Source organism: Homo sapiens, chromosome 11 (assembly GCF_000001405.40).
Source record: "Homo sapiens chromosome 11, GRCh38.p14 Primary Assembly".
Lineage (NCBI taxonomy): Eukaryota > Metazoa > Chordata > Mammalia > Primates > Hominidae > Homo > Homo sapiens.
The window spans coordinates 62468446-62496173 of NC_000011.10; the positions used below are offsets into that span (position 1 = coordinate 62468446).

General features: G+C 48.7%; 1 protein-coding gene across 1 annotated transcript in view; it reads right to left on the bottom strand.

The window, feature by feature from the left end:
- The window catches only part of AHNAK (AHNAK nucleoprotein), a 113263-nt gene that overhangs the window by 34902 nt on the left and 50633 nt on the right, over positions 1-27728 (bottom strand). The window contains exon 5 of the mRNA NM_024060.4: positions 23287-23386. Within this exon, the coding sequence (NP_076965.2) occupies positions 23287-23386 (100 nt within the window). The remainder of the gene's footprint in view (positions 1-23286; positions 23387-27728) is intronic.

Here is a 27728-nt window from a genome sequence, read left to right on the forward strand (position 1 = left end):
GGGCATGTGTGTACAGGTTGCTAAATAAAATTATAGGAGGCCATTGGTTTGGACTGAGCTCCTGCCCTAGGCCCAACAGATCAAACCAAAATGGAATTATTCATGCTCAAGTTCCACACCACCAAGCCAAAACTGTTCATCTGACCTTCTGAGAAATCAGGAGAAAGAGGGATAACAGCCGAATCCTCAAAAAGGCCAGTTTCAGCCAGCATGATAAGGAAGTGTCCTCTGCTTTAGCCTTTACAAGGAGGTCAAACTTCCCATGCTGATCAGTAGTGGGACTGTGCCTGTGAAGAGTCACTGCACACCAGCCTGGGCAACATAGTGAGACCCCATCTCTAGCTTAAAACAAACAAAAAAATTAAACCCTTTATAAGGACAGTAACTCTGAGACGACCCATCTGCTTTTTGTTCTCTGTTTCTGCTTTCCTCAGCTCTTTTCTGTCTTTAAAGTTAACCTCCTCTGCTCAGCTTCTTGGAACATTCATTTCATTTTGTAGAATAAGACACTGCATGATTCTAGAACTGCAAATAACAGCCAATTGGTTTGTTCTTTTTTGTGTATATGGAGAACGAGGTCTCACTATTTTGCCCAGGCAGGTCTCAAGCGATCCTCCCACCTCTGCCTCCTAGCTTGGTGTGAGCCACTTAGCCCGGCCCAATTGGGATCTCCTGATTTCCTTTTTCTTTTTTTGAGTCGGAGTCTTGTTCTGTTGCCCAGGCTGGAGTGCAGTGGTGTGGTCTTGGCTTACTGCAAACTCTGCCTCCTGGATTCAAGAGATCCTACTGCCTCAGCCTCCAGAGTACCTAGGACTACAGGTGCATGCCACCACACCCATCTAATTTTTATATTTTTAGTAAAGAGGATGTTTCACCATGTTGGCCAGGCTGGTCTTGAATTCCTGTCCTCAAGTGATCCACCTGCCTCAGCCTCCCAAAGTGCTGGGATTACAGGCGTGAACTACTGCGTCCAGCCCCAATTAGGATCTTTAACTAACTAAACATGTTGTAATTTTTGTTTGTTTGTTTGTTTGTTCGAGACAGAGTCTCACTCCATCACCCAGGCTGGAGTGCAGTTATGCAATGTCAGCTCACTGTAACCTCCGCCTCCCAGGTTCAAGCAATTGTCGTGCCTCAGCCTCCCTAGTAGCTGGAATTACAGGTATTTGCCACTACACCCAGATAAATTTTTTTGTATTTTTAGTAGAGATGGGGTTTCACTGTGTTGGCCAGGCTGGTCTTGAACTCCTGGCCTCACGTGATCTGCCCACCTCAACCTCCCAAAGTGCTGGGATTATAGGTGTGAGCCACTACGTGGGGCCTACGTGTAATTTTTGTCTTTTGACCAGATATAGCAATAGGTAATTCCACCAGGGGGAGAGGTGTCAGAAACAGAGAAAGTAACCTGTGAAACTGATTGAGTTCACAAAGTGGACAAGATAGGAAAAACAAAAAGCACAGTTCATCAATGTGTGTACTCAATCATAAACCAAAAATCACATGAAAAACCTCATAGGGTTTAGAGAATAACTCTCATAACTAGAGCTCTGGCCCCTAGCTATCAAAACCACAAAAGTTGGCCACGTGCAGTGCTCACGCCCGTAATCCCAGCACTTTGGGAGGCCAAGGTGGGCGGATCACAAAGTCAAGAGATCGAGACCATCCTGGCCAACATAGTGAAACCCCATCTCTACTAAAAATACAAAAATTAGCCGTGTGTGGCCAGGTGCAGTGGCTCACGCCTGTAATCCCAGCACTTTGGGAAGCTGAGGTGGGCAGATCACAAGGTCAGGAGTTTGAGACCAGCCTGACCAACATGGTGAAACTCTGTCTCTACTAAAAATACAAAAATTAGCCAGGCATGGTGGCATGCGCCTGTAATCCCAGCTACTCAGGAGGTTGAGGCAAGAGAATCGCTTGAACCCGGGAGGTGGAGGTTGCAGTGAGCTAAGATTGTACCACTGCACTCCAGCCTGGGTGACAGCAAGACTCTGTCTCAAAAAAAAAAAAATTAGCTGGGCGTGGTGACACACGCCTATAGTCCTAGCTACTCGGGAGGCTGAGACAGGAGAATCGCTTGAACCCGGGAGGCGGAGATTGCAGTGAGCCGAGATCGCGCCACTGCACTCCAGCCTGGGCGACAGTGAGAGACTGTCTCAAAAAACAAAAAACAAAAAACAAAAAGCTGAGTTTAAAACCCATCATCCAGATGCTCATTAATGCAGCCACAGAGTGGGGCTTGGGTGCTGATTAAAGAGTCCGACAGTGATCATCCCAGGTGGGCAACATCAATTTCAATGATGACTTCCACCAGATCATCATCTCCCACCAACCTCCATCTGTCACCTCTTTTTTCTTTCAGGGAAAAAAAAAAACCAAAACTTCTAAACAGCCACATTGTTCACAATAATCCAGTGCTTACCCAGCTGCTGAACTTCAATAGAAGAACTAAATAATACAAGATGCTGGGCCTGTTCCAGTCCCCCGAGACCTGACCGTCCCTGCTGGACAACTCAGATGCCTCATCCACCTGGGGTCAACCCCTGCAAGCTGAAAGAACGTCAGATTTTATTTATACCAATACGAAAGAAGGCTTTGGGGAGAAACTTTTGTCAGGCAAGAGCTTCAGCCTCCTGCATCCAGCTGCAGGGATGATGGCCCATGGGGAGGTGGCACACCTCAGAGGAGTCTTTTTCTGACTGCAAACACAGTCCAAGCTACCCTGGAGCAGAGTTTCTTAATAGTGACGCCTTTGACATTTTGGGCCAAAGGATTCTTTGCTGTGGGAGGCCGTCCTGTATGTTGCAGGATGTTGAGGCTACTAGGGGGGCTTTGGTTGTCGCAACTAGGGGGGGCTTCCACTGGCATCCAGTGGGCAGAAGGCACGCCAGGCTAATTTTTGTATTTTTAGTAGAGACGGAGTTTCGCCATGTTGGCCAGGCTGGTCTTGAACTCCTGACCTCAGGTGATCCGCCCACCTCAGCCTCCCAAAGTGCTGGGATTACAGGCATAAGCCACCATGCCTGACCAATTTTATACAATGTTTTAAATAATTTTGTGCATTAAACAGAATTTTGACTGTGACCTGTCACATGAGGTCAGGTGTGGAATTTTCCATTTGTGGCATCATGTCAGCACTCAAAAAAGTTTGGGTTTTGGGACATTTTGGATTTCGGATTTTTGGATTAGGGATGCTCAACCTGCACTATCACTGTACATGTTGCAAATGGGGAAGGTGAGGTTCAGAGCCCAGTAAAGGCCTGCTTGGGGGCCAGGCAGCCCATGGCAGGTGAAGCCGGACATGCCCTGAGGCCTGGGTGTGGGAGACTGGCCGGGATGCGGGTACCCACAGGCACCCCTCAGCCCCGCACACTGGCAGTTAGGAGAAAGAGAATGGCAGAGAGAAAGGGATCTGAGAAAAGCAAGAAGAGCACAAATGAAGAAAGGGAGAGGTGAGATGGACAGGGAGAGGGGTGGAGAGATAGAGGAAGGCCCATCTGCCCAATCCCTGGGTGACTTAAGGGCTGCTACGACCACTCGCCCCAGGGTCTGGGTCATCTCCCCTTGGAGCCAGGAGGCTGCCCATGACCCGGGTCCTCCTCAGGAGGAAGCACGCACAGCCCCCTTGTTGAGGCAGAGGGCTGGCTCCGTATCAGTCCTTCCCTGTGCCCACAGGCCCCCTTTCCCACATCTCTGGCCTCCTTGCCTTCACTGACTTCCCATGCCGTCACACCACCTGCCTCTAGACCTAGAGTGGGCCCAGCCCCGGCCTCCACTTGGATTGACCTCTGTGGCTCTCACCCGACTCCTCTCACCCTCTGTAGACCGCACAGCCAGACACCCACCTGACCCAGACCCTCCCCACTGCTGGCCTTCCTTTATCAGCTCCTTGCCTTCCCCTCTGACCCATGGCTCACTGACCCTCCCTGCATGGGCCAGTCCTCACAACTGTTCTTCTACTGTCCTTCCACTCTGAGTTCTTAGGCTTTTGTCAACACCCCAGCCCTCAGCAATGCCTGCCAGAAACCACCCCAATCCCAAGGCCCCACTGTCACCCTTACCCAAATCTCCTCCTTCCCGCCTCTCAGCCCACACTCACTGATGAGTCATCATCCAGCCCTCACCATCCCTATGAAGTCAACCCTCAAACCCTGTGCCAGGACAGCACAGCCCCCACCCCCTGCCACCATCCTCTCCTATAAATTCTCAAAGAATGGTCCAGACTCCTACATGAGAACTACCAGGGCCCTTTGCTTAAAATACTGTGACAGTGAAATAAGCCAGACACAAAAAGACAAATGCTGTATAACTCCACTTATCTGAGGTACCTGCAGTAGTAAAATTCACGAAACAAAGTAGGGCTAGGTGCAGTGACTCATGCCTGTAATCCCAGCAATTTGAGAGGCCAAGGCGGGTGGATCGCTTGAGGTCAGGAGGTCAAGACCAGCCTGGCCAACATAGTGAAAACTTGTCTCTACTAAAAATACAAAAATTAGCCGAAACAGTGGTGCATGCCTGTAACCCAGCTACTCGGGAGGCTGAGGCACAAGAATCACTTGAACCCAGGAGGCAGAGGTTGCAGTGAGCCAAGTTCACACCACTATACTCCACCCTGGGCAACAGAGCAAGACTCCATCTCAAAAAAAAAAAAAAAAAAAAAAAAAAAAAAGGCCAGGTGCGGTGGCTCATGTCTGTAATCCCAACAGTTTGGGAAGCCAAAGCGGGTGGATCACAAGGTCAGGAGTTCGAGACCAGCCTGGTCAACATGGTGAAACCCTGTCTCTACTAAAGACACAAAAAAATTAGCCGGGCATGGTGGCGGGCACCTGTAATCCCAGCTACTTGAGGGGCTGAGGCAGGAGAATCGCTTGAACTCAGAGGTTGCAGTGAGCCGAGATCATGCCATTGCACTCCAGCTTGGGCAAAAGGTCGAGACTCCATCTAAAAAAAAAAAAAAAAAAAAAAAAAGGCTGGGTGCGGTGGCTCACGCCTGTAATCCCAGCACTTTGGGAGGCCAAGGCGGGTGGACCACAAGGTCAGGAGATCGAGACCAAGGTGAAACCCCGTCTCTCCTAAAAATACAAAAACAATTAGTCGGGCGTGGTGGCAGGCGCCTGTAGTCCCAGTTACTCAGGAGGCTGAGACAGGAGACTGGCGTGAACCTGGGAGGCAGAGCTTGCAGTGAGCCAAGTTTGTGTCACTGCACTCCAGCCTGGGCGACAGAGCAAGACTCCGTCTCAAAAAAAAAAAAGCTGTATAAAACAATGATAGGAACCAGGCTCAGGTCACGCTATAATCCCAGCACTTTAGGAGGCTGAGGCTGGAGGATTGCTTGAGCCCAGGAGTTCCAGACCAGCCTGGACAACATGGTGAGACCCCCACCTCTACAAAAAAAATAAACAAAATTAGCTGGACATGGTGATGTGTGCCTGTAGTCTCAGCTACTCGGGAGGCTAAGGTAGGAGGATCACTGGAGGCTTGGAGGTTGAGGCTGCAGTGAGCCATGATCAAACCACTACACTCCAGCCTGGATGACAGAGTGATACCCTGTCTCAAAAAAAAAAAATAGGTAAGTGAGGTGACAGACATGTTAATGAGCTTGATTTAATCACTGTACATTGTATACATATATCAAATATGTCAATCAAAAATAATAGTAATAATTTATAAATAAAATAATTTAAAAATTAGAAATGCAATGACAAATCAGAAATCTTGGGAGGGGGCCCAGAAACCTACATCTTTTTTTTTTTTTTTGAAACAGAGTCTCGCTCTGTTGCCCAGGCTGGAGTGCAGTGGCACGATCTTGGCTCACTGCAACCTCCACCTCCCAGGTTCAAGTGATTCTCCTGCCTCAGCCTCCTGAGTAGCTGGGATTACAGGTGCATGCCACCACGCCCAGCTAATTTTTATATATTTAGTAGAGACGGGGTTTCACCACGTTAGTCAGGCTGGTCCTCGAACTGCTGACCTCGTGATCTGCCCTCAGCCTCCCAAAGTGCTGGGATTACAGGCATCAGCCACCACACCCGGCCCTCAGAAACCTACATCTTTAACCAGCTCCCCAGTGATTCTTATGCACCTTAAGTGGAAGAACTGAGAATTGCTGCCGCTTCTTAGCTGCGTAAGCTCGGCCAAGTTGCCAAAACTCTGCAGCCTCAATTTCCCCACCTGCGAATGGACACGAGGCCTTCCTCACAAGGATCTTGTGAGAGTCACATGAGATAAGGAATATAAAGAGCCAGGGACTGACAGCTGGTTGACAAAAGTGAGCTGGACATTTAGTCAGTTTGCGGACATACACTGAGCACCCCGTGCTGGGTCCTGGAAATAGGAGAGTGAGCAAACAATGTCCCAACATCCTGGTGCTTGAAGACAGTGGGGTGTCTTCCTTCTCCCACCTTCAGGCCTCTGAAAAGCTACCTGCTGGAAAGGAACATCTGGCAACAGGTAGGGAGGATCCTGACCTCAGAGGCTGGTGAGGAAGAGGGACCCAGGAGAAGCCGCTGCACTGGCAGGGACAGTGACAGAGGCGAGGTGCAGAGGGTCATCAGGGCACTTAAAAGGGGACCCTGGGCCGGGCACGGTGGCTCACGCCCGTAATCCCAACACTTTGGGAGGCAGAGGTGGGCGGATCACCTGAGGTCAGGAGTTCGAGACCAACCTGACCAACAAGGTGAAACCCTGTCTCTACTAAAAATACAAAAATTAGCCAGGCATAGTGGCAGGTGCCTGTAGTCCCAGCTACTCAGGAGGCTGAAACAGGAGAATTGCTCAAACCCAAGAGGCAGAGGTTGCAGTGAGCCGAGATCGCACCATTGCACTCCAACCTGGGGCAATAGAGCGAGACTTTGTCTCAAAAAAAAGGTGGGGGGACCCCTGCAGCCATCAAAATGAACAAGATCCTGTCTTTTGTGGGAACGTGGATGGAGGTGGAGGCCATTATCCTCAGCAAACTAACACAGGAACAGAAAACCAAATATGGCATGTTCTCACTTATAAGTGGGAGCTAAATGATGAGCACTCATAAACACAAAGAAGGGAGCAACTGACACTGAGGTCTATTGGGTTGGTGCAAAAGTAACTGCACTTTTGCATTGTTGAAATTTGCGTTTGATATTGGAATATATTCTTAAATAAATGTGGTTATGTTATACTTTTTTTTTTTTTTTTTTTTTAGACAGAGTCTCACTCTGTCACCCAGGCCAGAGTGCAGTGGCGCGATCTCAGCTCACCGAAACCTCTGCCTTCTGGTCTCAGGTGATTCTCCTGCCCCAGCCTCCCAAGTAGCTGGGATTACAGGCGCCCGCCATCACACCCAGCTAATTTTTGTATTTTTAGTAGAGACGAGGTTTCACCATGTTGGCCAGGCTCGTCTCGAGCTCCTGACCTCAGGTGATCCGCCCGCCTCAGTCTCCCAAAGTGCTGGGATTACAGGTGTGAGCCACCGCCCCCGGCTATATATCACTTGAAGGCGCATTTCTCGCCTTAAGTTTTTTTGCTAATGACTTATTACTTGCTGTTTATTTTATGTTTATTTTAGACTATGGAAATTATGTTAGACCAAAGCAAATTCAAGCTATTTTCTTATTCAAGTTCAAAATGGGTTGTAAAGCAGCAGAGACAACTGGCAACATCAATGCATTCGGCCCAGGAACCGCTAATGAGCATACAGTGCAGTGGTGGTACAAGTTCTGGCCGGACGGCTGAGGCAGCCGGATCACCTGAGGTCAGGAGTTCGAGATCAGCCTGGCCAACATGGCGAAACTCCCATCTCTACTAAAAATACAAAAATTAGCTGGGCATGGTGGCGCATGGCTATAATTCCAGCTACTTGCTAGGCTGAGGCAGGAGAATCACTTGAACCTGGCAGGCAGAGGTTGTAATGAGCCGAGATTGCACCACTGCTCTCCACCCTGCCTGGGCGACAGAGCAAGACTCCGTCTCAAAAAAAAGTTTTGCAAAGGAGACAAGAGCCTTGAAGATGAGGAGCGTCGTGGCGCCAGCCATTAGAAGTTGACAATGACCAATTGAGAGAAATAATCAAAGACCCTCTTAAACCTACACGAGAAGTTCCCGAAGAACTCAACATGGACATTGGACGGTCGTTCAGCATTTGAAGCAAATTGGAAAGGTGAAAAAGCTTTATAAGTGGGTGCCTCATGAGCTGAGCAAAAATTAAAACAAAACAAACAAAAAAAAACATCATTTTGAAATGTCTTCTCTTATTCTACGCAACAACAATGAACCATTTCTCGATCAGATTGTGACGTGAGACAAAAAGTGGATTTTAAACGACAACTGTCGATGACCGGTGGTTGGACCAAGAGAAAGAAGCTCCAAAGCACTTCCCAAAGCCAAGCTTGTACCAAAAGAAGGTCATGGTCACTGGTGGTCTGCTGCCAGTCTGATCCACTACAGCTTTCTGAATCCTGGCAAAACCATTACATTTAAGATATATGCTCAGCAAATTGATGAGATGCACCAAAAACTGCAATGCCTGCAGCCGGCATTGGTTGCAGAAATCACCCAATTCTTCTCCATGACAATGCCCGACCGCATGTCACACAACACTTCAAAAGTTGAACGAATTGTACTACGAAGTTTTGCCTCCTCTGCCATATTCACTTGACCTCTCGCCAACTGACTACCACTTCTTCAGGCATCTCGACAACTTTTTGCAGGGAAAACGCTTCCACAACCAGCAGGATGCAGAAAATGCTTTCTAAGAGTTCGTCGAATCCCGAAGCATGGATTTATATGCTACAGGAATGAAAAAACTTATTTCTCATTAGCAAAAATGTGTTGATTGTAACGCTTCCTATTTTGGTTAATAAAGATGTGTTTGAGCCTAGTTATAATGATTTCAAATACATGGTCTGAAGCCGCAATTATTTTTGCACCAATACTTGAGGGTGGAGGGTGGGAGGAGGAGAGAGAGAAGCAGAAAAGATAACTATTGGGTACTGAACTTAATTCCTGGGTGATGAAATAACCTGTACAACAAGCCCCGTGTCATGAGTGTACCTATGTAGCAAACATTCACATGCACCCCCGAACCTAAAATAAAAGTTATAGGGCAAGTGCCGTGGCTCACGCCTGTAATCCCAGCACTTTGGGAGGCCAAGGCGGGCAGATCACAGGTCAGGAGTTCGAGACCAGCCTGGCCAACATGGTGAAACCCCTCTGTACTAAAAATAACAAAAATTAGCCAGGCATGGTGGCCGGCGCCTGTAGTCCCAGCTACTAGGGAGGCTGAGGCAGGAGAATCACTTGAACCCGGGAGGCGGAGGTTGCAGTGAGCTGAGACCGCGCCACTGCACTCCAGCCTAGGCAAAAGAGTGAAACTCCATCTCAAAAAAAAAAAAAAGTTATAAAAAGCAGGGGGATCCCAGTCAAGCCCTGGGCCAAGGCTTTCCAGAGGTGGTGATGGTTGTGCAGAAACCTGGAAGATAATTGGCTTAGGGGATGGGGGGCCTTCCTGGCCAAGGAGTAACATGTGTATAGGTACAGAGGCCTCTGGAACATTTGAGGAAGCGAAAGAAGGCCAGGGTGGTGAAGCCCGGGACCTGTACACCAAGAGCAAAGGGAAGTCAGGTGGACTCAAAATCCTCCCAGGAATTCCTCTCCGCAGGACTCAGTGCTATCTTAAGAGCAGAGCCCCTGGCCTCCCATCTCCTCCCCCACTATTCCAGGTGGTTTCTTAGAATGGCCTCTCACCACCACCCGCAGCCTCACCCAGCAGATCTGGTCAGGTCTGGTCAGCACACACATTCGCTCTTCTTCTCAGCTAGGGCCCAGGGGCTAAGCAGGAGCTGGGGCTGAGCCCCTGAGGTCTTTTCACACTAAGACTGGACCCTCCAGCCCCTGACAGGGCTCACCCCAGGGCTCCCCAACAAATTCAGGAGAGCAATGATACAAGAATGCCTCTTCTTTGATTTTGTTCTTGTCCTTTACTTCTCCCAAATTATTGCCCCTAGCAATGCCTAGAAAACAGGACAGGGTGCCGGGTGCCGGTGGCTCACTCCTGCAATCCCAGCAGTTTGGGAGGCCAAGGTTGGGGCTTGGAGATGGAGATTGCTTGAGCCCAGGAGTTCCTGACCAACCTAGGCAACACGGCAAGACCTCATCTCTACAACAACAACGACAAAAATTAGCTGGGCATGGTGGCACACGCCTGTGGTCCTAGCTACTCAGGAGACTGAGGTGCGAGGATCGCTTGAACCCAGGAGATCGATCCTCCTGCAGTGAGCCGTGATCATACCACTGCACTCCAGCCTGGGTGACAGAATGAGACCCTGCCTCAAAAAAAAAAAAAAAAAAAAAGAGAGAGAAAAGAAAAGAGCAAAAGAGGAAAATGTACACCATTAATACACCATTAAAAAAATCCCTCCTAGGCCTTTGATGACACTGTTTCACTAATTTTTTTTGTTTGTTTGTTTGTTTCTAAAACAGAGTCTTGCTCTGTCTCCCAGGCTGGAGTACAGTGGCGCAATCTCAGCTCACTACAACCTCCGCCTCCTGGATTCAAGTGATTCTCCTGCCTCAGCCTCCTGAGTAGCTGGAACTACAGACACATGCCACTGCGCTCGGCTAATTTCTTTTCATTAATGTTGACACAGTTAAGATGACAGAGTCTGTCTACTTCAGCACTTATTGTAATAAGATAGTAGGACAACTTTTCTAAGAGCTTTGCTTTCTTTTCTTTTTTTTTCTTTTTTCTTTTTTTTTTTTTTTTTGATACGGAGTTTCCCTCTTGTTACCCAGGTTGGGGTACAATGGCACGATCTCGGCTCACTGCAACCTCTGCCTCCCAGGTTCAAGTGATTTTCCTGCCTCGGCCTCCCGAGTAGCTGGGATTACAGGCATGCACCACCACGTCTGGCTAATTTTGTATTTTTAATGGAGACAGGGTTTCTCCACGTTGGTCAGGCTGATCTCGAACTCCTGACCTCAGGTGATCCGTCTACCTCAGCCTCCCAAAGTACTGGGATTACGGGCGTGAGCTACCCTGCCCAGCCCCTTTTTTTTTTTTAAGAGAGCCATTACTTGGGTAGTTTGGGGTCTGCGAAGTGCTAAAAATACTAGAAAATTACCTGAATATTTTTGTCAGGCCAACATTTTTGTCTTGGGTACAAGGAGGGTGGGAAGTTTGCCAGACTGCTCATAAGCCTTCTATTAAGATGTTTCCCTAAGAACCTGTCACCATGCAGAGGGGAATACCCCATACAAGCAGCAGGTCTCCATCTCCCCAACCAAATGCCTTCCATTCCCTTCTTCCACGACGCACGAAACAGATAAGGCATGAAATCAAAGCTCTCTTTCCAGAACCGGCTCTCCAAGTGGGTGATCCATTCCTGCATGCAATCTTGTCCTTTTGCCTGTTTAACTGTGAAACTATTCTTGAAAGTATTCCAAAGTGGCTTTAGGGAATATTCATATCTTGACTGTTTTTCACTTCAATAAAAAGTTAAGGCAAACTTGGCCCATTCCGGGGAGCTGGAATCCAGAGGGGAGGGAGATGAGGTCCCAGTGCTCCTTCTGGCTGGGTTCTGCCGGATTTATAGGAGGGCCTCACACCCCTCACCCCTGATTTCAAGCAGGAGGGTAGCAGGCAGAGCTTGGGAAGCCTCACCCGGACCCTGCCACCTGCCAGGAAGGTCAGGGCCCTGCTCCCCTGCCTGTGCCCACTGCTGGGAGCAGGCTGGACCCAGTGGCCAGCTGTCCTGGACAGTGACAGCCACAGAACCCTCAGCCCTGCCAATCTTGCCTCGGATCCTTTCTAAATCCCTTTAGCAGTTGATACTTTAGGGGTGGGAGGAAATAAATCTCAAGGGTTAAATTAAATTTCTGCTTGTGACAGAGTTCACTCCAGGTACATCCATTCAGAGGCTAATCAGGCAAACCTGAGATTAACAGAGAAAGGCCTGACTTTGCCAGGCACAGTGACTCACGCCTGTAATCCCAGCACTTTGGGAGGCCGAGGTGGGTGGATCACAAGGTCGGGAGTTCAAGATCCGCCTGGCCAAGATGGTGAAACCCCGTCTCTACTAAAAAATACAAAAATTAGCCGGGCACGGTGGCGGGTGCCTGTAATCCCAGCTACGTGGGAGGTTGAAGCAGGAGAATCGCTTGAACCCGGGAGGTGGAGGTTGCAGTGAGCCGAGATTGCGCCATTGCACTCCAGCCTGGGTGACAGAGCAAGACTCTATCTCAAAAAAAGAAAAGAAAAGAAAAGAAAAAAAAGAAAGGCCTGACTCTTTCTCAGTGGTCCTGGACTCTGAAACCCTGACCTCTGTCCCCAAACAGGGCCTTCCTTCCTGAGCTCTCTGCTATGCAAGGAATTCTGCGTGCAGTTAAAAAAAAAAAAAAAAAAAAAAAACCTGGATTTGCTGCCTTCTGGTCTGACCAAGTTGGAATGCGCAGCGTGAAGAAATGCTCGTTGCCTAGGCAGGAACAGCCATCCACAGGAAAACAGACCTCAGTAAATAATGTCCTCGACCTTCCCCCAAAAGCCCAGAGGCTGCCTCCTGTGAGTAACCGATGAAACCCGAGGCGCTCCTGTAGCTCCTGGGCTGATCCCTCTCCAGGAGATGACTTGGATGAGAAGGAAGGTGCTATGGGCTTCTCTTTTCTTTTTTTGGTTTTTTTTTTTTTGGTTTTTTTTTTGTTTTTTTGAGACAGAGTTTCGCACTTGTTGCCCAGACTGGAGTGCAGTGGCGCAGTCACGGCTCACTGCAACCTCTGCCTCCCGAGTTCAAGCAGTTCTCCTGTCTCAACCTCCCGAGTAGCTGGGATTACAGGTGCCCACCACTGCACCCAGCTAATTTTTGTATTTTTTAGTAGAGACAGAGTTTCACCATTTTGGCCAGGCTGGTCCTGAACTCCTGATCTCAGGTAATCCACCCACCTCGGCCTCCCAGAGTGCTGGGACTACAGGAGTGAGCCACTGTACCTGGCCTTGGGCTTCCCCTTTCTTCCATTTCCCTTGCACCATCTTTGTCTGGACCCTCAGGGTCTCGTCCCTGCCTCCACACCTCCCACCCTCAAACCTACCATTGCTACCCAAAAACCTCCCTAGACCTCAGCTTCTAGCAAGTCACCCTTCAATACTCTTTATTTTTTATTTATTTATTTATTTATTTATTTAGAGACTGAGTCTCGCTCTTTCTCCTAGGCTGGAGTGCAGTGACACGATCTTGGCTCACTGCAAGCTCCGCCTCCCGGGTTTATGCCATTCTCCTGCCTCAGCCTCTTGAGTAGCTGGGACTACAAGTGCCCACCACCATGCCTGGCTAATTTTTTGTATTTTTAGTAGAGACGGGGTTTCACCGTGGTCTCGATCTCCTGACCTCGTGATCGACCCACCTCGGCCTCCCAAAGTGCTGGGATTACAGGCGTGAACCACCGCGCCTGGCCCTTCAATACTCTTTAAAGTCTGAGTTCTTCAACCCTCTGCCTTGATGTTAAGACCTTTTACGATCCATCTCCGCCCTCTTGCCCCATCTCCCCCACCATTCCCCAATGCATGCCCTGTGTCGGGTGAGGTCAGTCTCTCTTCCCTGCTGGGTCAGCCATGCTCACTCCATCCCTGGCCCGTCACTCATGTTGTCTACATGTGGAGCTCTCCTTCAAGGCCCAGCTCATATCTCTCTTCCTCCATGAAACCTTCATCAAGATGTATTTAGGCCGGGTGCAGTGGCTCACATCTGTAATCCCAGCACTTTGGGAGCCCAAGGCGGACTGCTCACTTGAGGCCCGGAGTTCGAGACCATCCTGGCCAACATGGGGAAACCCCATCTCTACTAAAAATACAAAATTTATCCGGGCGTGGTGGTGCGTGCCTGTAGTTCCAGCTACTCAGGAAGCTGAGGCAGGAGAATCATTTGAGCCCAGGAGGCAAAGGTTGCAGTGAGCTGAGATCGCGCCACTGCACTCCAGCCTAAGTGACAGAGCGAGACTGTCTCAAAAAAAAAAATGTAGTATTTAACAGAAAGGACTCTGGAGCCCCCCTGGGTTCAAATACTGGCTTTGCCCTTCCGTTCTCTCAATGACTTTGGGCAAATTACCTAATCCTTCTGTGCCTCAGATTCCTCCACTGCCAAATCGGGATATAATTGCACCTACTCACGAGAGCTACCGTGAGGATGAAATAAATGACATCACATAAAGCATTTACGCCATGCCCGACACATAGAAAGCACCTCAGAGGGTGAGTGCTTACTGTTACCTGAGCATGCCATCCCTCCCTCATACTCTTTTCCCCAGAATGTCTCCATCTAGCATGGTAGAGACCACACCTGTCAAATTCATCTTGTACTGCTCACTGCAATTTCATGTGTAGCAAAGAGGAACAGGAACATTTTATCTGTAATCGTAGCATCGATAAGCAATAGCTTATTCATGAATGTAAAATATTCCTCATTCGTAATGTGCAGAATAAGCAGGAGAACTGGCCCTGCTTCCTCCTGGTATAATTTAACCCTTAAGAGGCCTAGGAGGAAAAAGACAGGGCAAACTATCAGGAACACAAAGACACACAAAAACGTCCACAGGATGGTCATTTGAACACCAAAAGGACAATCATTTGAACGACATGGTTTCACACCAAGAAGCACTGCCTGGAGAGTGACCTGGTCAGAGGTGGGAAACTCCACCAGCATCTGTTCCTCCTGAAAGTGAACAGCAGCCGAGTGACAGAAGACCCCGAAGGCCCAGGGCCCAAGGGACGCTACGTGGCAACAGCATCGGGGTAGGGTGGGCTGCAGGCCTTCTGCTTTACCAGAAGAATGCTGCAGGCTCATGAATCAATCAGTTCAGAGCTCAGGATGATACGGGAGTCGGGGGCCACTCAGCCTTTTCTGGCCTCCATTCCTTCAGCTTTAATTTGAAGAGAACTGGTGGAAACAGAGGATCACTAACAAATCATCCAGTTCTGAAATTCTGTCCTGTGCCAAAATGATCTACACAACACTCTCTACATAGATCAAGAAAGGGCGGGCCGGGCGCGGTGGCTCGCGCCTGTAATCCCAGCACTCTGGGAGGCCGAGGCGGGCGGATCACGAGGTCAGGAGATCGAGACCATCCTGGCTAACACGGTGAAACCCCGTCTCTACTAAAAAAAAAACTACAGCCAGGCGCGGTGGCTCACGCCTGTAATCCCAGCGCTTTGGGAGGCCGAGGCAGGCGGATCATGAGGTCAGGAGATCGAGACCATCCTGGCTAACACGGTGAAACCCTGTCTCTACTAAAAATACAAAAAAAATAGCCAGGCGTGGTGGCTGGCACCTGTAGTCCCAGCTACTCCAGAGGCTGAGGCAGGAGAATGGCGTGAACCTGGGAGGCAGAGCTTGCAGTGAGCCAAGATTGTGCCACTGCACTCCAGCCTGGGCGACAGAGCAAGACTCCATCTCAAAAAAAAAAAAAAACAAACTACAAAAAATTAGCCAGGCGCGGTGGCGGGCGCCTGTAGTCCCAGCTACTCCGGAGGCTGAGGCAGGAGAATGGTGTGAACCCAGGAGGTGGAGCTTGCAGTGAGCCGAGATCGCACCACTGCACTCCAGCCTGGGCAACAGAGCGAGACTCCATCTCAAAAAAAAAAAAAAAAAAAAGAAAGGGCATGCATAGAGCAGTGTTCAAAAGAAGGGATGGCTGGGTGCAATGGCTCACACCCATAATCCCAATGCTTTGGGAGGCTGAGGCAGGAGGATCACTTGAGACCAAGAGCTCAAGACCAGTCTGAAAAACGTAGTGAAACCCCATTTCTACAAAAAAAATTTTTTTTTAATTAGCTGGGCATGGTAGCACACACCGGTAGGTAGTCTTAGCTACTCTGGAGGCTGAGGCAGGAGGATCACTTGAGCCCAAGAGTTGGAGGCTGCAGTGAGCTATGATCATGCCACCACACTACAGCCTGGGTGACAGAGTGAGACCCTGTCTCTGAATAAATAAATAAATAAATAACAAGAGAGACGCCATAGGTCAGGGGAAGGAGGGCTTGCTACTTTATGTAAGGTGTCAGAGAAGATCTCTTGCGAGGTGACATTATAAGGGGAAGACTTTGTCAAGGGGAAGAACATTCCAAGCATAGTTCACAGCAAATACAAAAACCCTGGGATGGAAGCTTGGCTGCCAGATCAAGGAACAGCAAGGAGCCCCTGTGGCCAGAGCTCCATGAGGGAGGAAAAGATGGGGTCTGAAGAGCAGTGAGGGCCAGGTGGTATGGAAGCCTCTACGCTACCACGAGCACTTAAGCATGCTTCCGAGTGAGATGGGGAGCCACGGAAGGTCATGAGTGAGGCATGGCAATACTTGACTTAGGTTTTGTTTTGTTTTGTTCTGTTTTGTTTTGTTTTGTTTTTGAGACAGAGTTTCGCTCTTGTTGCCCAGGCTGGAGTGCAATTGCGTGATCTCAGCTCACCACAACCTCCGCCTCCCGGGTTCAGGCGATTCTCTTGCCTCAGCCTCCAGGGTAGCTGGGATTACAGGCACGCGCCACCACACCCGGCTAATTTTGTATTTTTAGTAGAGACGGGGTTTCTCCATGTTGGCCAGGCTGGTCTCGAACTCCTGACCTCAGGTGATCTGCCTGCCTCGGCCTCCCAAAGTGCTGGGATTACAGGCGTGAGCCACCGTGCCTGGCCTTTGACTTAGGTTTCAAAAAGATTAATTGGCCGGGAGCAGTGGCTCACATCTGTAACCCCAGCACTTTGAGAGGCCAAAGCGGGAGGATCGTTTGAGCCTAGGAATTCAAGACCAGTCTGGGCACCATAGTGAGACCCTGCCTATTTACAAATAATTTTAAAAATTAGTCAGGCATGGTGATGCATGCCTGTACTGGGGCGGCTGAGGTGGGAGGAGTGCTTGAGCCCAGGAGTTTGAGGCTACAGTGAGACGTAATCCCAACAGTATACTCCAGCTTGGGTCACAGAGTGAGACCCTGTCAAAAACAAAACAAAACAAAAAGGATCAATCTTGCTGGGCGCGGTGGCTCACACCTATAATCCCAGCACTTTGGGAGTCCGAGGCGGGCGGATCACAAGGTCAGGAGATCGAGACCATCCTGGCTAACACGGTGAAACCCCGTCTCTACTAAAAATACAAAAAATTAGCTGGGCATGGTGGCAGGAGCCTGTAGTCCCAGCTACTCAGGAGGCTGAGGCAGGAGAATCGCTCAAACCTGGGAGGCAGAGGTTACAGTGAGCCGAGATTGCACCACTGCACTCCAGCCTGGGCAATACAGCAAGACTCCATCTCAAAAAAAAAAAAAAAAAAAAAGAATAACAGAAGGCCGGGAGTGGTGGCTCATGCCTGTAATCTCAGCATTTTGGGAGGCCAAGGCAGGTGGTGACACCTGAGGTCAGGAATTCAAGACCAGCCTGGCCAACATAGTGAAATCCTCATCTCTGCTAAAAAATAACAAAAAATTAGCCAGACATTGTGACATATACCTGTAGTCCCAACTACTCAGGAGGCTGAGGCAGGGGAATCACTTGAACCTGGGAGGCGGAGGTTGCAGTGAGCCGAGATTGCACCACTGCACTCCAGCCTGGGTGACAAAGCAAGACTTTGTCTCAAAAAAAAAAAAAAAAAAAGAGAGAGAGAGAAATGAAATGAAATTCTAACACAAAATATAACATAGATGAACCCTGAAAGTGAAGTAAGCTAGACAGAAGAGGACAAATACTGTGTCATTCCACTTATATGAGGTACCTAGAGTAGTCAAATTCATACAGTCAGAAAGTAGCAGCCAGGCATGGTGGCTCACGCCTGTAATCCCAGCACTTTGGGAGGCCGAGGTGGGTGGATCACCTGCGGTCAGGAGTTCGAGACCAGCCTGACCAACATGGAGAAACCCCATCTCTACTAAAAATACAAAATTAGCAGGCGGGGTAGCACATGCCTGTAATCCCAGCTACTTGGGAGGCTGAGGCAGGAGAATCGCTTGAACCCAGGAGGCGGACGTTGCGGTGAGCCAAGATTGTGCCATTTTACTCCAGCCTGGGCAACAAGAGCTAAACTCCGAAACTCTGTCTCAAAAAAAAGAAAGAAAAGAAGAAAGGAAGGAAGGAAGAAAGGAAAGAAGGAAGGAAGGAAGGGAGGGAGGGAGGGAGGGAGGGAGCATGGTGGTTGCCGGGGGCTGGAGAATTAGTGTTGAATGGCTACAGCGTTTCAATTGGGGAAGATGAGAAAGTTCTGGAGCTGCACAGTGGAGATGGTTCCACCGTAATGTAGATGTACTGTATACCACTGAGCTGTACACCTAAAAATGGTTAAAATGGTCAATTTTATGTTATGTCTATTTTACCACCAGTTTTTTTTTTTCTTTACATAGATGGAGAACTCACAGATTGGCCCACTGGCAAGGGTCCTATGAGGTTTTAGAGGTTTATAAACACAAGCTCAAATGAAAAATTACCCTAGAGTTTTCCCATGGTTAGCTGTGAGTACAGGAATATCTGCCCCCATCCCACCAAGAGGGCTTCAGAATAGAGAGAGAGGGTTCACTGAGTAAGGAGCGGCAGACTCCAAATAGACGCCTATTCCAGACCAGAGAACATCGTGAAAGAGGAGAGGACTGGAATAAGATGGTCAGAGAAGCAAAATGAGCTAAGGGGTTTGAAACAACAGAACAGAAACATTGTGGACCACCAGTGGTGCGGGACGTCTGGTGACAGCTTAGGTGACCAGTCCAGTGTGAAGCTGATAAAGGGGTATAATTACAACAGCTAACGTTTATTAAGCACTTACTGTATGTCAGGCACCACTATAAACGCTGCCCAGGCAATAGTTCGCTTTATCTTCACAACCACCATCTAAGGGATGTTATCATCCTGATCTCACAGATGAAAGAAAAACTGGAACATGCCCCAACGTAGAGTAGCAAAGACAGGATTTGAACCCAGGCAGTCCAGTTTCTGAGCAGAGCTCCTAACCATGAGGGTATGTGGCGTAAGGCAGGACAGTATGACATCCAACACAATGAGTTTATAGGTTTCTGTTTGTAGCTTCAACTCTCCAGCACCTCACCCCTCAAAACCGCCTTCAACATTTAGGACACAGCGTAAGTGTCTTTTTTTTTTGAGACGGAGTCTCGCACTGTCGCCGGTGGCGCAGTCTCGGCTCACTGCAACCTCCCCCTCCCGGGTTCAAGCGATTCACCTGCCTCAACCTCCCATGATGTCTTGATTCAAAAGCTCTGCTGCTCTCAACTGCACAGACTTGTCTTCAAGTCCAGCAATACTTCTCTGATTTTCCACTTATTTACCAAAATGACCCTGTATGCAGCTGACTGAAGTGTTACCGTGAGAAAACCATGTAATGTTCAAACGGGTTTTTTGATATTAAAAGAAACAGCAGTACCCCCTTGAGAAGTCGACTTAGAGAAAGCTGGAGGCTCACGGCGGGGACAGGAAAGGCTTGTTTCTCACATGCCCGTGAAGTGATGTTTACACAAGACTCCAGCTTCAAAGCCCATGAAAGTGGGGGACACGCAAGTTGGTTTCTAAGGAAACATCCATGATCAGGGGAAAGAGGCGTCTCTGGCAAGGAGAACTATAATCTTTCTCCTGTACTTTAAACCAAGGCATGAGAAGATGAAAAGCCACGGAAGTTCCTCTAAGCTCCACAGACTTTCTCTGAATCCCTGTGACTGGCTGCTTTAATTCTGCCACCTTCCGTGCCTGGCTCTGCAAAGGTGCTCAGTAAATAAACGTTCATTGAATGAACAGACATTATGCACCCAGTGTACAAGTCCTTTGAGAAAAGGGGTCAAATCCCAATTCCCTTGAAATCCCGAGACATTTAATTTAATCAATGTTGAAGTAAAGTGTACAACAAAAAGTGCTGCATTTGGCAACACAAACACTAGAACCCAGTCCCCAAAGAGCAATAGAGAAATGGCCACCATGTAAGCACTGGGAAGCCAGCCAGCGGAGCTTGCCATCATCTGTCTAGCTTTTTTTTTTTTTTCCAAGACGGAGTTTCGCTCCTGTTGCCCAGGCTGGAGTGCAATGGCGCGATCCCAGTTCACTGCAGCCTCCGCCCCCTGGGTTCAAGCAATTCTCCTGCCTCAGCCTCCTGATTAGCTGGGATTACAGGCGCCCACCATGCCCAGCTAATTTTTTTTTTTTTTTTTTGTATTTTCAGTAGAGACAGGATTTTGCTGTGTTGGCCAGGCTGCTCTCAACCTCCTGGCCTCAGGTGATCCACCCACCTCGGCCTCCCAAAGTGCTGGGATTACAGGTATGAGCCACAGTGCCCAGCCCATCTGTCTAGTTTATATTCCATGCAGACTGTGCTGTAGATCCTCCTGGGCCCTACTGAGTGTGAAGTCTAGTGGAGGCCCAGCACCAGGGGAGCCAAAACAGGGATGCCTGGGCAGCATGGGAGAGCACAGAGAAGGGGCCCTGAGCCCAGACTTGGAGGCTCAGGTGGGCCTGGAGTGGTGGTTCAAAGGCCCAGGAAGACAGGGGGCAGAGGGGTTTGGAAGAGCACAATAAAGACACAGGAGCGGCCCAGCGCGGTGGCTCACACCTGTAATCCCAGCACTTTGGGAGGCCCAGGCGGGTGGATCACAAGGTCAGGAGTTCAAGACCAGCCTGGCCAATATGGTGAAACCTCATCTCTACTAAAAATACAAAAAAATTAGCTGGACATTGTGGTGCATGCCTGTAATCCCAATTACTCAGGAGGCTGAGGCAGGAGGATTGCTTGAACGCGGGAGGTGGAGGTTGCAGTGAGTTGATATCACGCCACTGCATTCCAGCCTGGGTCACAGAGTGAGACTCCATCTCAAAAAAAAAAAAAAAAGACATAGGAGCATAGACCGGCATCATGGATGTGGGGACCAGCACTAGGGTGTTGCTGGAGTGAAAAGCCCACATGGGAAGTGGTGCGGGCTGAGCCAAGAGCTGAGCCATGGCATCTTTGGGTGCTGAGCCAAGGATGTGAACTTCACCCCGAGAGCCATGAGCAGCCACTGAAGAATTTCAAGGAGGGGAGTAACATGATTTGATTCTTTTATTTTAAACTAACCACTATTTAAGCTCAGTCTATCCATGGAGGAAAAGAGCTAAGACAGGCAGACAGTTAGGAGGCGATTGTAGCAAATAATACAAACCAAAAACATTGGAAATGTTAAGAAGGTGGGTGACTGGTGTGGTAGCCAGATGGTTAGCAGAGCTGACCAGAGACGGTAAGGACGGGGATGGAGAGACAGGGAGAGGGGGAGTGGAGGGGAGCCCAGATGTGCAGCCCTGGAGCTCGGAAGAGAAGCAGGCCTGAGAGCCACAGAGCCCCAAGAGGTTGCCCGGAGAGAGAGTCCCGAGTGAGAAAAACAAAAACCCATGACAGGTCCTTGGGAAATTCTGCCACTTTCGAGGTTGTGGGAAGAGGGGAGCCCATAAAGGGCCTAGGAAGGGAGGGCAAAGTCATCCTAACCAAACAGACGTCAACATGAAGGCGATATCACCAATCAGAGGGGGCAGGGTGTTTCATGGAAGGAGAGGGCACAGCACCAAGTGCCCAGAGATTTCCCTGGGCACTCATATCAATGAAGTGGAATCAGCAAGAGCAGTATTGAGTGGCAGGGTGGAAGCCTGGGAACGGGAAGTGGGGGGACTGGAGTGAAGGGAAGATGAGGAAGAGGCGACAGGAATGGAACAGGCAATGCTTTCCAGTTGGCTCTCAAAGAATAGCACCACAGCAAGAGGGGTTCGGGCTTGAGGGAGGCTTTCTTTCTTTTCTTTTTCTTTTTTTTTTTTTTTTTTTTTTGAGACAGAGTCTTGCTCTGTCACCCAGGCTAGAGTGCAGTGGCCTGATCTCAGCTCACTGCAACCTCCGCCTCCCGGGTTTAAGCGATTCTTCTGCCTCAGCCTCCTGAGTAGCTGGGATTACAGGCGTGCGCCACCACGCCCGGCTAATTTTGTATTTTTGGTAGAGACAGGGTTTCACCGTTTTGGCCAGGCTGGTCTCGAACTCCTGACCTCGTGATCCTCCTGCTCCTCCGCCTTCCAAAATGCTGGGATTACAGGCGTCAGCCACCGCACCAGGCTGGGAGGCTTTCTTTAAAGGAGGTGGAGTATGTCCCTGTTTATATGCTGAACGGACATTCACCCCAGGCTATGGGTGGAGCGCTGGGCAAGGAAGAGGTGAGAGGAGAAAATGGGGCTCAGATGGAGGAAGGAGGGTCCACAGGAGCGGATAGAAGGAAGCGGAGCTCCCTTTGCCCAGTGACACGGCAGTCAGTCCTCTCCAGCTGACATTGCCATGTGGGAATGTGGGCTCAGTGAACATGACAAAATGTTGAGAGGCCATACATTCCATATTTTTGTTTATTGTTTTGTTTTGTTTTTTTGGGACGGAATATCACTCTGTCGTCGCCCAGGCTGGAGTGCAGTGGTGCAATCTCAACTCACGGCAACCTCTGCCTCCTGGGTTCAAGCAATTCTCCTGTCTCAGCCTCCCGAGTAGCTGGGATTACAGGTGCCTGCCACCATACCCGGCTAATTTTTATATTTCTAGTAGAGACAGGGTTTCACTATGTTGGCTAGGCTGGTCTTGAACTCCTGACCTCAAGTGATCCGCCTGCCTCGGCCTCCCAAAGTGTTGGATTACAACCATGAGCCACCATGCCCAGCCAGTCTCCTGATTCTTAAATGTTTGCAATTACCTCCAAAAAACAGTTTCATTTTGGTACAGGCCAGAAACATGGCTACGGCCCACACTGAGCCAATGACCCCTCCACGTAGCTCCCTATGACCCAGGATTTCCATAGCCCACAGTCACTCACTTCTTCCCCTCCAGCTCACCCTCCATGTGGGCATCTCCCTCCTAGGAGGCCTGAAAAAGACTTTCCTTTAGAGGATCAAAAAGACTTTTTCTACACTCTGGTAGATCTTCCACTAGGAGTAGATTCCAACCCTTTAATTCTGAGTCTTTGGTTTCTGCCCCACCCTGGCTTCTGGGTTTAATAGGTACTGTCTTAAAAGAATGTGGATATTCCACGGCAGCCCTCCCTATGAAGAAACGCTTGAGACTCCTTCTGAAGGAGTACGTAATCCTTCTGTAGTAAGTGCATTTCCTATGGGCTTCTCACAAAGCTGAAAGAAGAGTAGGGTTTGAATTTCCAGGCCCAGGAGAAAGAGGGGCTGGGCTCCTGGGGTCCTGAGCCATATCCTTCCACGTGTGGCTTCCACAGCCCAGGCAGGCATGCCCATCTGTGATAAAGGGTATCATTATCATAATCAAGGTCATCCGTCTTTCAGTCCCCATCACTTCTCTCACCTGCATTTGGGGTGGAGACTGAAACTGCCCCGGCTTGGCTGCTGGCTTCCTTCTGTTTGTTCTGGTCTTTGCATTCCAGTGCTGATGGCTGTGGTGTGTTCTAACAAGGATAAAGATTATCACCAGGTCACTCATCAAATCATCCAATCAATGAGCACTTTTCAAATGCCTACTATGGGTGTATAAAATACCAGAGACCCCACGTTTACCACTACCACCCCCCAACACACCCCAACCCAGCCCAAGCTCCACCATTGCCTGGAATCTCTAGCTGTAGAGAAGATAACAGAGAATCTTTAGAAGACAACTGGCCTAAGCTGAAGGACAGCCCTTTGTGAAAGCCCGGGGAATCTCACACAAAGGGGACAATGCTATCTCCGGTTCATCCACCCACCAGACCCAGTCATTCTCCTCAAGGGCTTTGCAAGGACAGAAGGAGAGAGATAAGGTACAACTGAACACTGAGGAACAATGTGTAAGAAAGGAGGGTTTTATTGTGGGACCACAGCACTCATCGGTTACTGCCCTCTGGGTATCTTTTCTCCAACAGCATTAAGCTGGATACTGCGGGGCAGGGGTTCCGATCACTAGATTCAGCTCCACTCAGAGTTCCTGATGCCTTACACAGTAGATCTCCAATCAGAGGTCGCTACCATCTGTGGGGAAGGGGAGTGTTCCCATCAAGAAGGAGAGCCCACCTGGCCATGGGATTCCCTGACCAATAGCAGGATTCCGTCTGGCAGCAACACTGAAACCAGTTCGTGGAGAACTATGGTTGCCATCAGTGTTTTCAACGGGTTACTCTTTTCATGTGTTTGCCCAAGTCTAACACCATCCCAGGAAATTACTCTTCCCAGCAGGATGCAGTGGCTCACACCTGTAATCCTAGCACTTTCAGAGGCTGAGGCAAGAGGATCACCTGAGCCTAGGAGTCCCACACCAGCCTGGGCAATATAGTGAGACCCCCACCTCTACAAAAAATAAAAAATAAACAAAATTAGCCAGGTGTGGTGGCACACAACCGTAGTCCCAGCTACTCAGGAGGCTGAGGCAGGAGGACTGCCTGAGTCCAGGAGGTCAAGGCTACAGTGAGCCATGATCACACCACTGCACTCCAGCCGGGGCGACAGAGTGAGACCCTGTCTCAAAAAAAAAGGGAGATTGCTCTTCCCCAGGGGATAGTAACCCAAAGGTTACATGAAAGGATTGAATCGGGACCTTCAGTTTCAAACAGATTAAATTTCTTTTTTATTTTCTTTCTACTGTTTTCTTTTCTTTTCTTTTTTTTTTTTTTTTTTGAGACAGAGTCTCACTGTGTGTCCCAGGCTGGAGGGCAGTGGCCAGATCTCAGCTCACCACAACCTCCAGCCTCCCAGGTTCAAGGGATTCTCCTGCCTCAGCCTCCCAAGTAGCTGGGATTACAGGCGTGTGTCACCATGCCCAGCTAATTTTTAGTATTTTTAGTAGAGACAGGGTTTCACCATGTTGGCCAGGCTGGTCTCGAACTCCTGACCTCAGATGATCCACCCACCTCAGCCTCACAAAGTGCTGGGATTACAAGTGTAAGACATCATGCTCGGCCTGTTTTCTTTCTTTCTTTCTTTTTTTTTTTTTTTTTTGACAGACTCTCGCTCTGTTGCCCAGGCTGGAGTGCAGTGGCACAATCTCACTGCAACCTCTGCCTCCCGGGTTCAAGCAATTCTCCTGCCTCAGCCTCCCAAGTAGCTGGGATTATAGGCATGTGCCACCACACCAGCTAAGTGTGTGGCTAAGCTTATTTTTAGTAGAGACGGGGTTTCACTATCTTGGCCAAGCTGGTCTCAAACTCCTGACCTCAGGTTATCCACTCACCTCGGCCTCCCAAAGTGCTAGGATTACAGGCGTGAGCCACCGTGCCCAGCCTTTTTTTTATTTTTTAAGAGATGGGGGGGGTCCCACTATGTTGACCAGGCTGGTCTTGAACTCCTGGGCTCAAGTGATCCTCCCATCTCCACCTCCCAAAGTGTTAGGATTACAGGTGTGACCCACCTGGCCGGGCCAAATGGTGAAATTTCTTATTCATCCTTCCTTCTTACAGGTGAACTATCTTCCCTGTTCCGAGCTTTCAGGAGGACTGTTGGGGCCACTTAAATTTTTCCTCCCCATAATGAAGCAAATTCTTCATTAGAGTTTTCTAGATGCTGAGACAATAAATTATTTGTCTTTGTCTCCGAGAGCTTAGCAGTGTCCCAGGCATTCTGGAAATGTTTGTGGCTTGGATAGATGAATGATGAGTGATGAAAGAATGAATGAGTGGTGAATAAATGAATGAATGAGTGGTGAATAAATGAATGAATGGTGTAAGAGTCTTTCAACTGAATGATATTTGCATTTCTCTAACAATCGATGGCATGAAAATTTCCAAGGTTCTTAAAAACTGCACATAGATTAATCCCATCTCACTGATTCTTCTTTCTTCACAAATTTTTAAAATTCTAATAATAATCAGATATAAATTATTTTACAAAAACAATCCTGTCTTTCCCAGAAAAAGTTTGGTTGAGAAATTCAGCATGTGATGACTCTTCTTTTTATTTCAATTGTTCAGTTTCTAGTTATAAAATGAAACTCAGAATAAGTCCAAATAACCACAGAAGGAAGGAATTTTTTTTTAATTTAGAAACAAAGATTGAATAATAATGGCAAACACATTGGCGCTTACCACATGCCAAACGATTTTTACCCTTATGTCAACTCCTTACATCAACTCTGGAGACAAGTACTACTACTACCCCGTTTTACACAAGAAGAAACTGAAGTACAGAGAGCTTAAATAACTTGCCCTAGATGGTACAGCTAGAAAGAGCCAGAGCTGGTCAGGCACAATGGCTCACACCTGTAATCCCAGCACTTCGAGAGGCCAAGGTAGGCAAATGGCTTGAGCCCAGGAGTTCAAAATCAGCCTGGGCAACATGGCGAAACCTTGTCTCCACAAAGAATTCAAAAATTAGCCAGGACCGCCGGGCGCAGTGGCTCACGCCTATAATCCCAGCACTTTAGGAGGCCAAAGCAGGTGGATCACCTGAAGTCAGGAGTTCAAGACCAGCCTGACCAACATGGTCTCTACTAAAATACAAAAATTAGCATGGCGTGATGGCGGGCGCCTGTAATCTCAGCTACTCAGGAGGCTGAGGCACGAGAATCGCTTGAACCCAGAAGGCGGAGGTTGCAGTGAGCCAAGATTGAGCCATTGCACTCCAATCTGGGCAACAAGAATGAAACTCCATCTCAAAAAAAAAAAAAAAAGTAGCCAGGCATGGTGGTACACGCCTGTGGTCCCAGCTACTCAGGAGGCTGAGGTGGGACAATCACCTGATCTCAGGGAAGTCAAGGCTACAGTGAGCTGTGATCACACCACTGCACTCTAGCCTAGGTGACAGAGTGAGACCACCTCCCCCAACCCGGGCAAAAAAAAAGAAAGTGGCAGAGCTGAGATTTGAATCCAAACTACCTGGTTCATAAACCCACACTCTAAACACTAAACCATCCATTCATGTTTCATAGCATATATTAGGAAATATGAAAGAAGGAAAAAAAATCCAAGCCAAAGTTGCCAGTATATTCAAGATAAGAAGTTATCCTATAGAAAGCATGGCTTTCACCTAAACATGTAGATTACCTCACAGTGTCCTGTTGTAATTCATTGCCAAAACTAGAGTGCTTTAGAAATAACAGTAATAGGCCGGGGACAGTGACTCATGCCTATAATCCCAGCACTTTGGGAGGCCGAGGCAGGCAGATTACGAGGTCAGGAGATCGAGACCAGCCTGGCCAACGTGGTGAAACCCAGTCTCTTCTAAAAATACAAAAAAAAAAACATTAGCTGGGCATGAAGGCATGCACCTGTAGTCCCAGCTACTTGGGAAGCTGAGGTAGGAGAATCACTTGAACCTGGGAGGCAGAGGTTGCAGTGAGCCGAGATCACGCCACTGCACTCCAGCATGGGGACAGAGCGAGACTCCGTCTCAAAAAAAAAAAAAAAAAATAGCAGTAATATGCCAGGCGCAGTGGCTCATGCCTGTAATCCCAGAACTTTGGGAAGCCAAGGCGGTTGAATTATTTGAGGCCAGAAGTTCGAGACCAGCCTGGCCAACATGATGAAACCTCGTCTCTACTAAAAATAGAAAAATTAGCCAGGCATGGTGGTATATGCCTGTAATCCCAGCTACTCAGGAGGCTGTAGCAGGAGGATCACTTGATCCCAGGAGGCGGAGGCTGCAGTGAGCCAAGATTGCGCCACTGCACTCCAGCATGGGTGACAGAGCCAGATCCTGTCTCAAAAAAAAAAAAAGAAGAAAGAAAGAAATAACGTTAATATTACTAAAAGCAAGCAAAACAAAGATTCTATAGTAGCTGGACTAAATAAAGGAGTAGGAAACGAGTTCAGTTACTATTCACTTTAG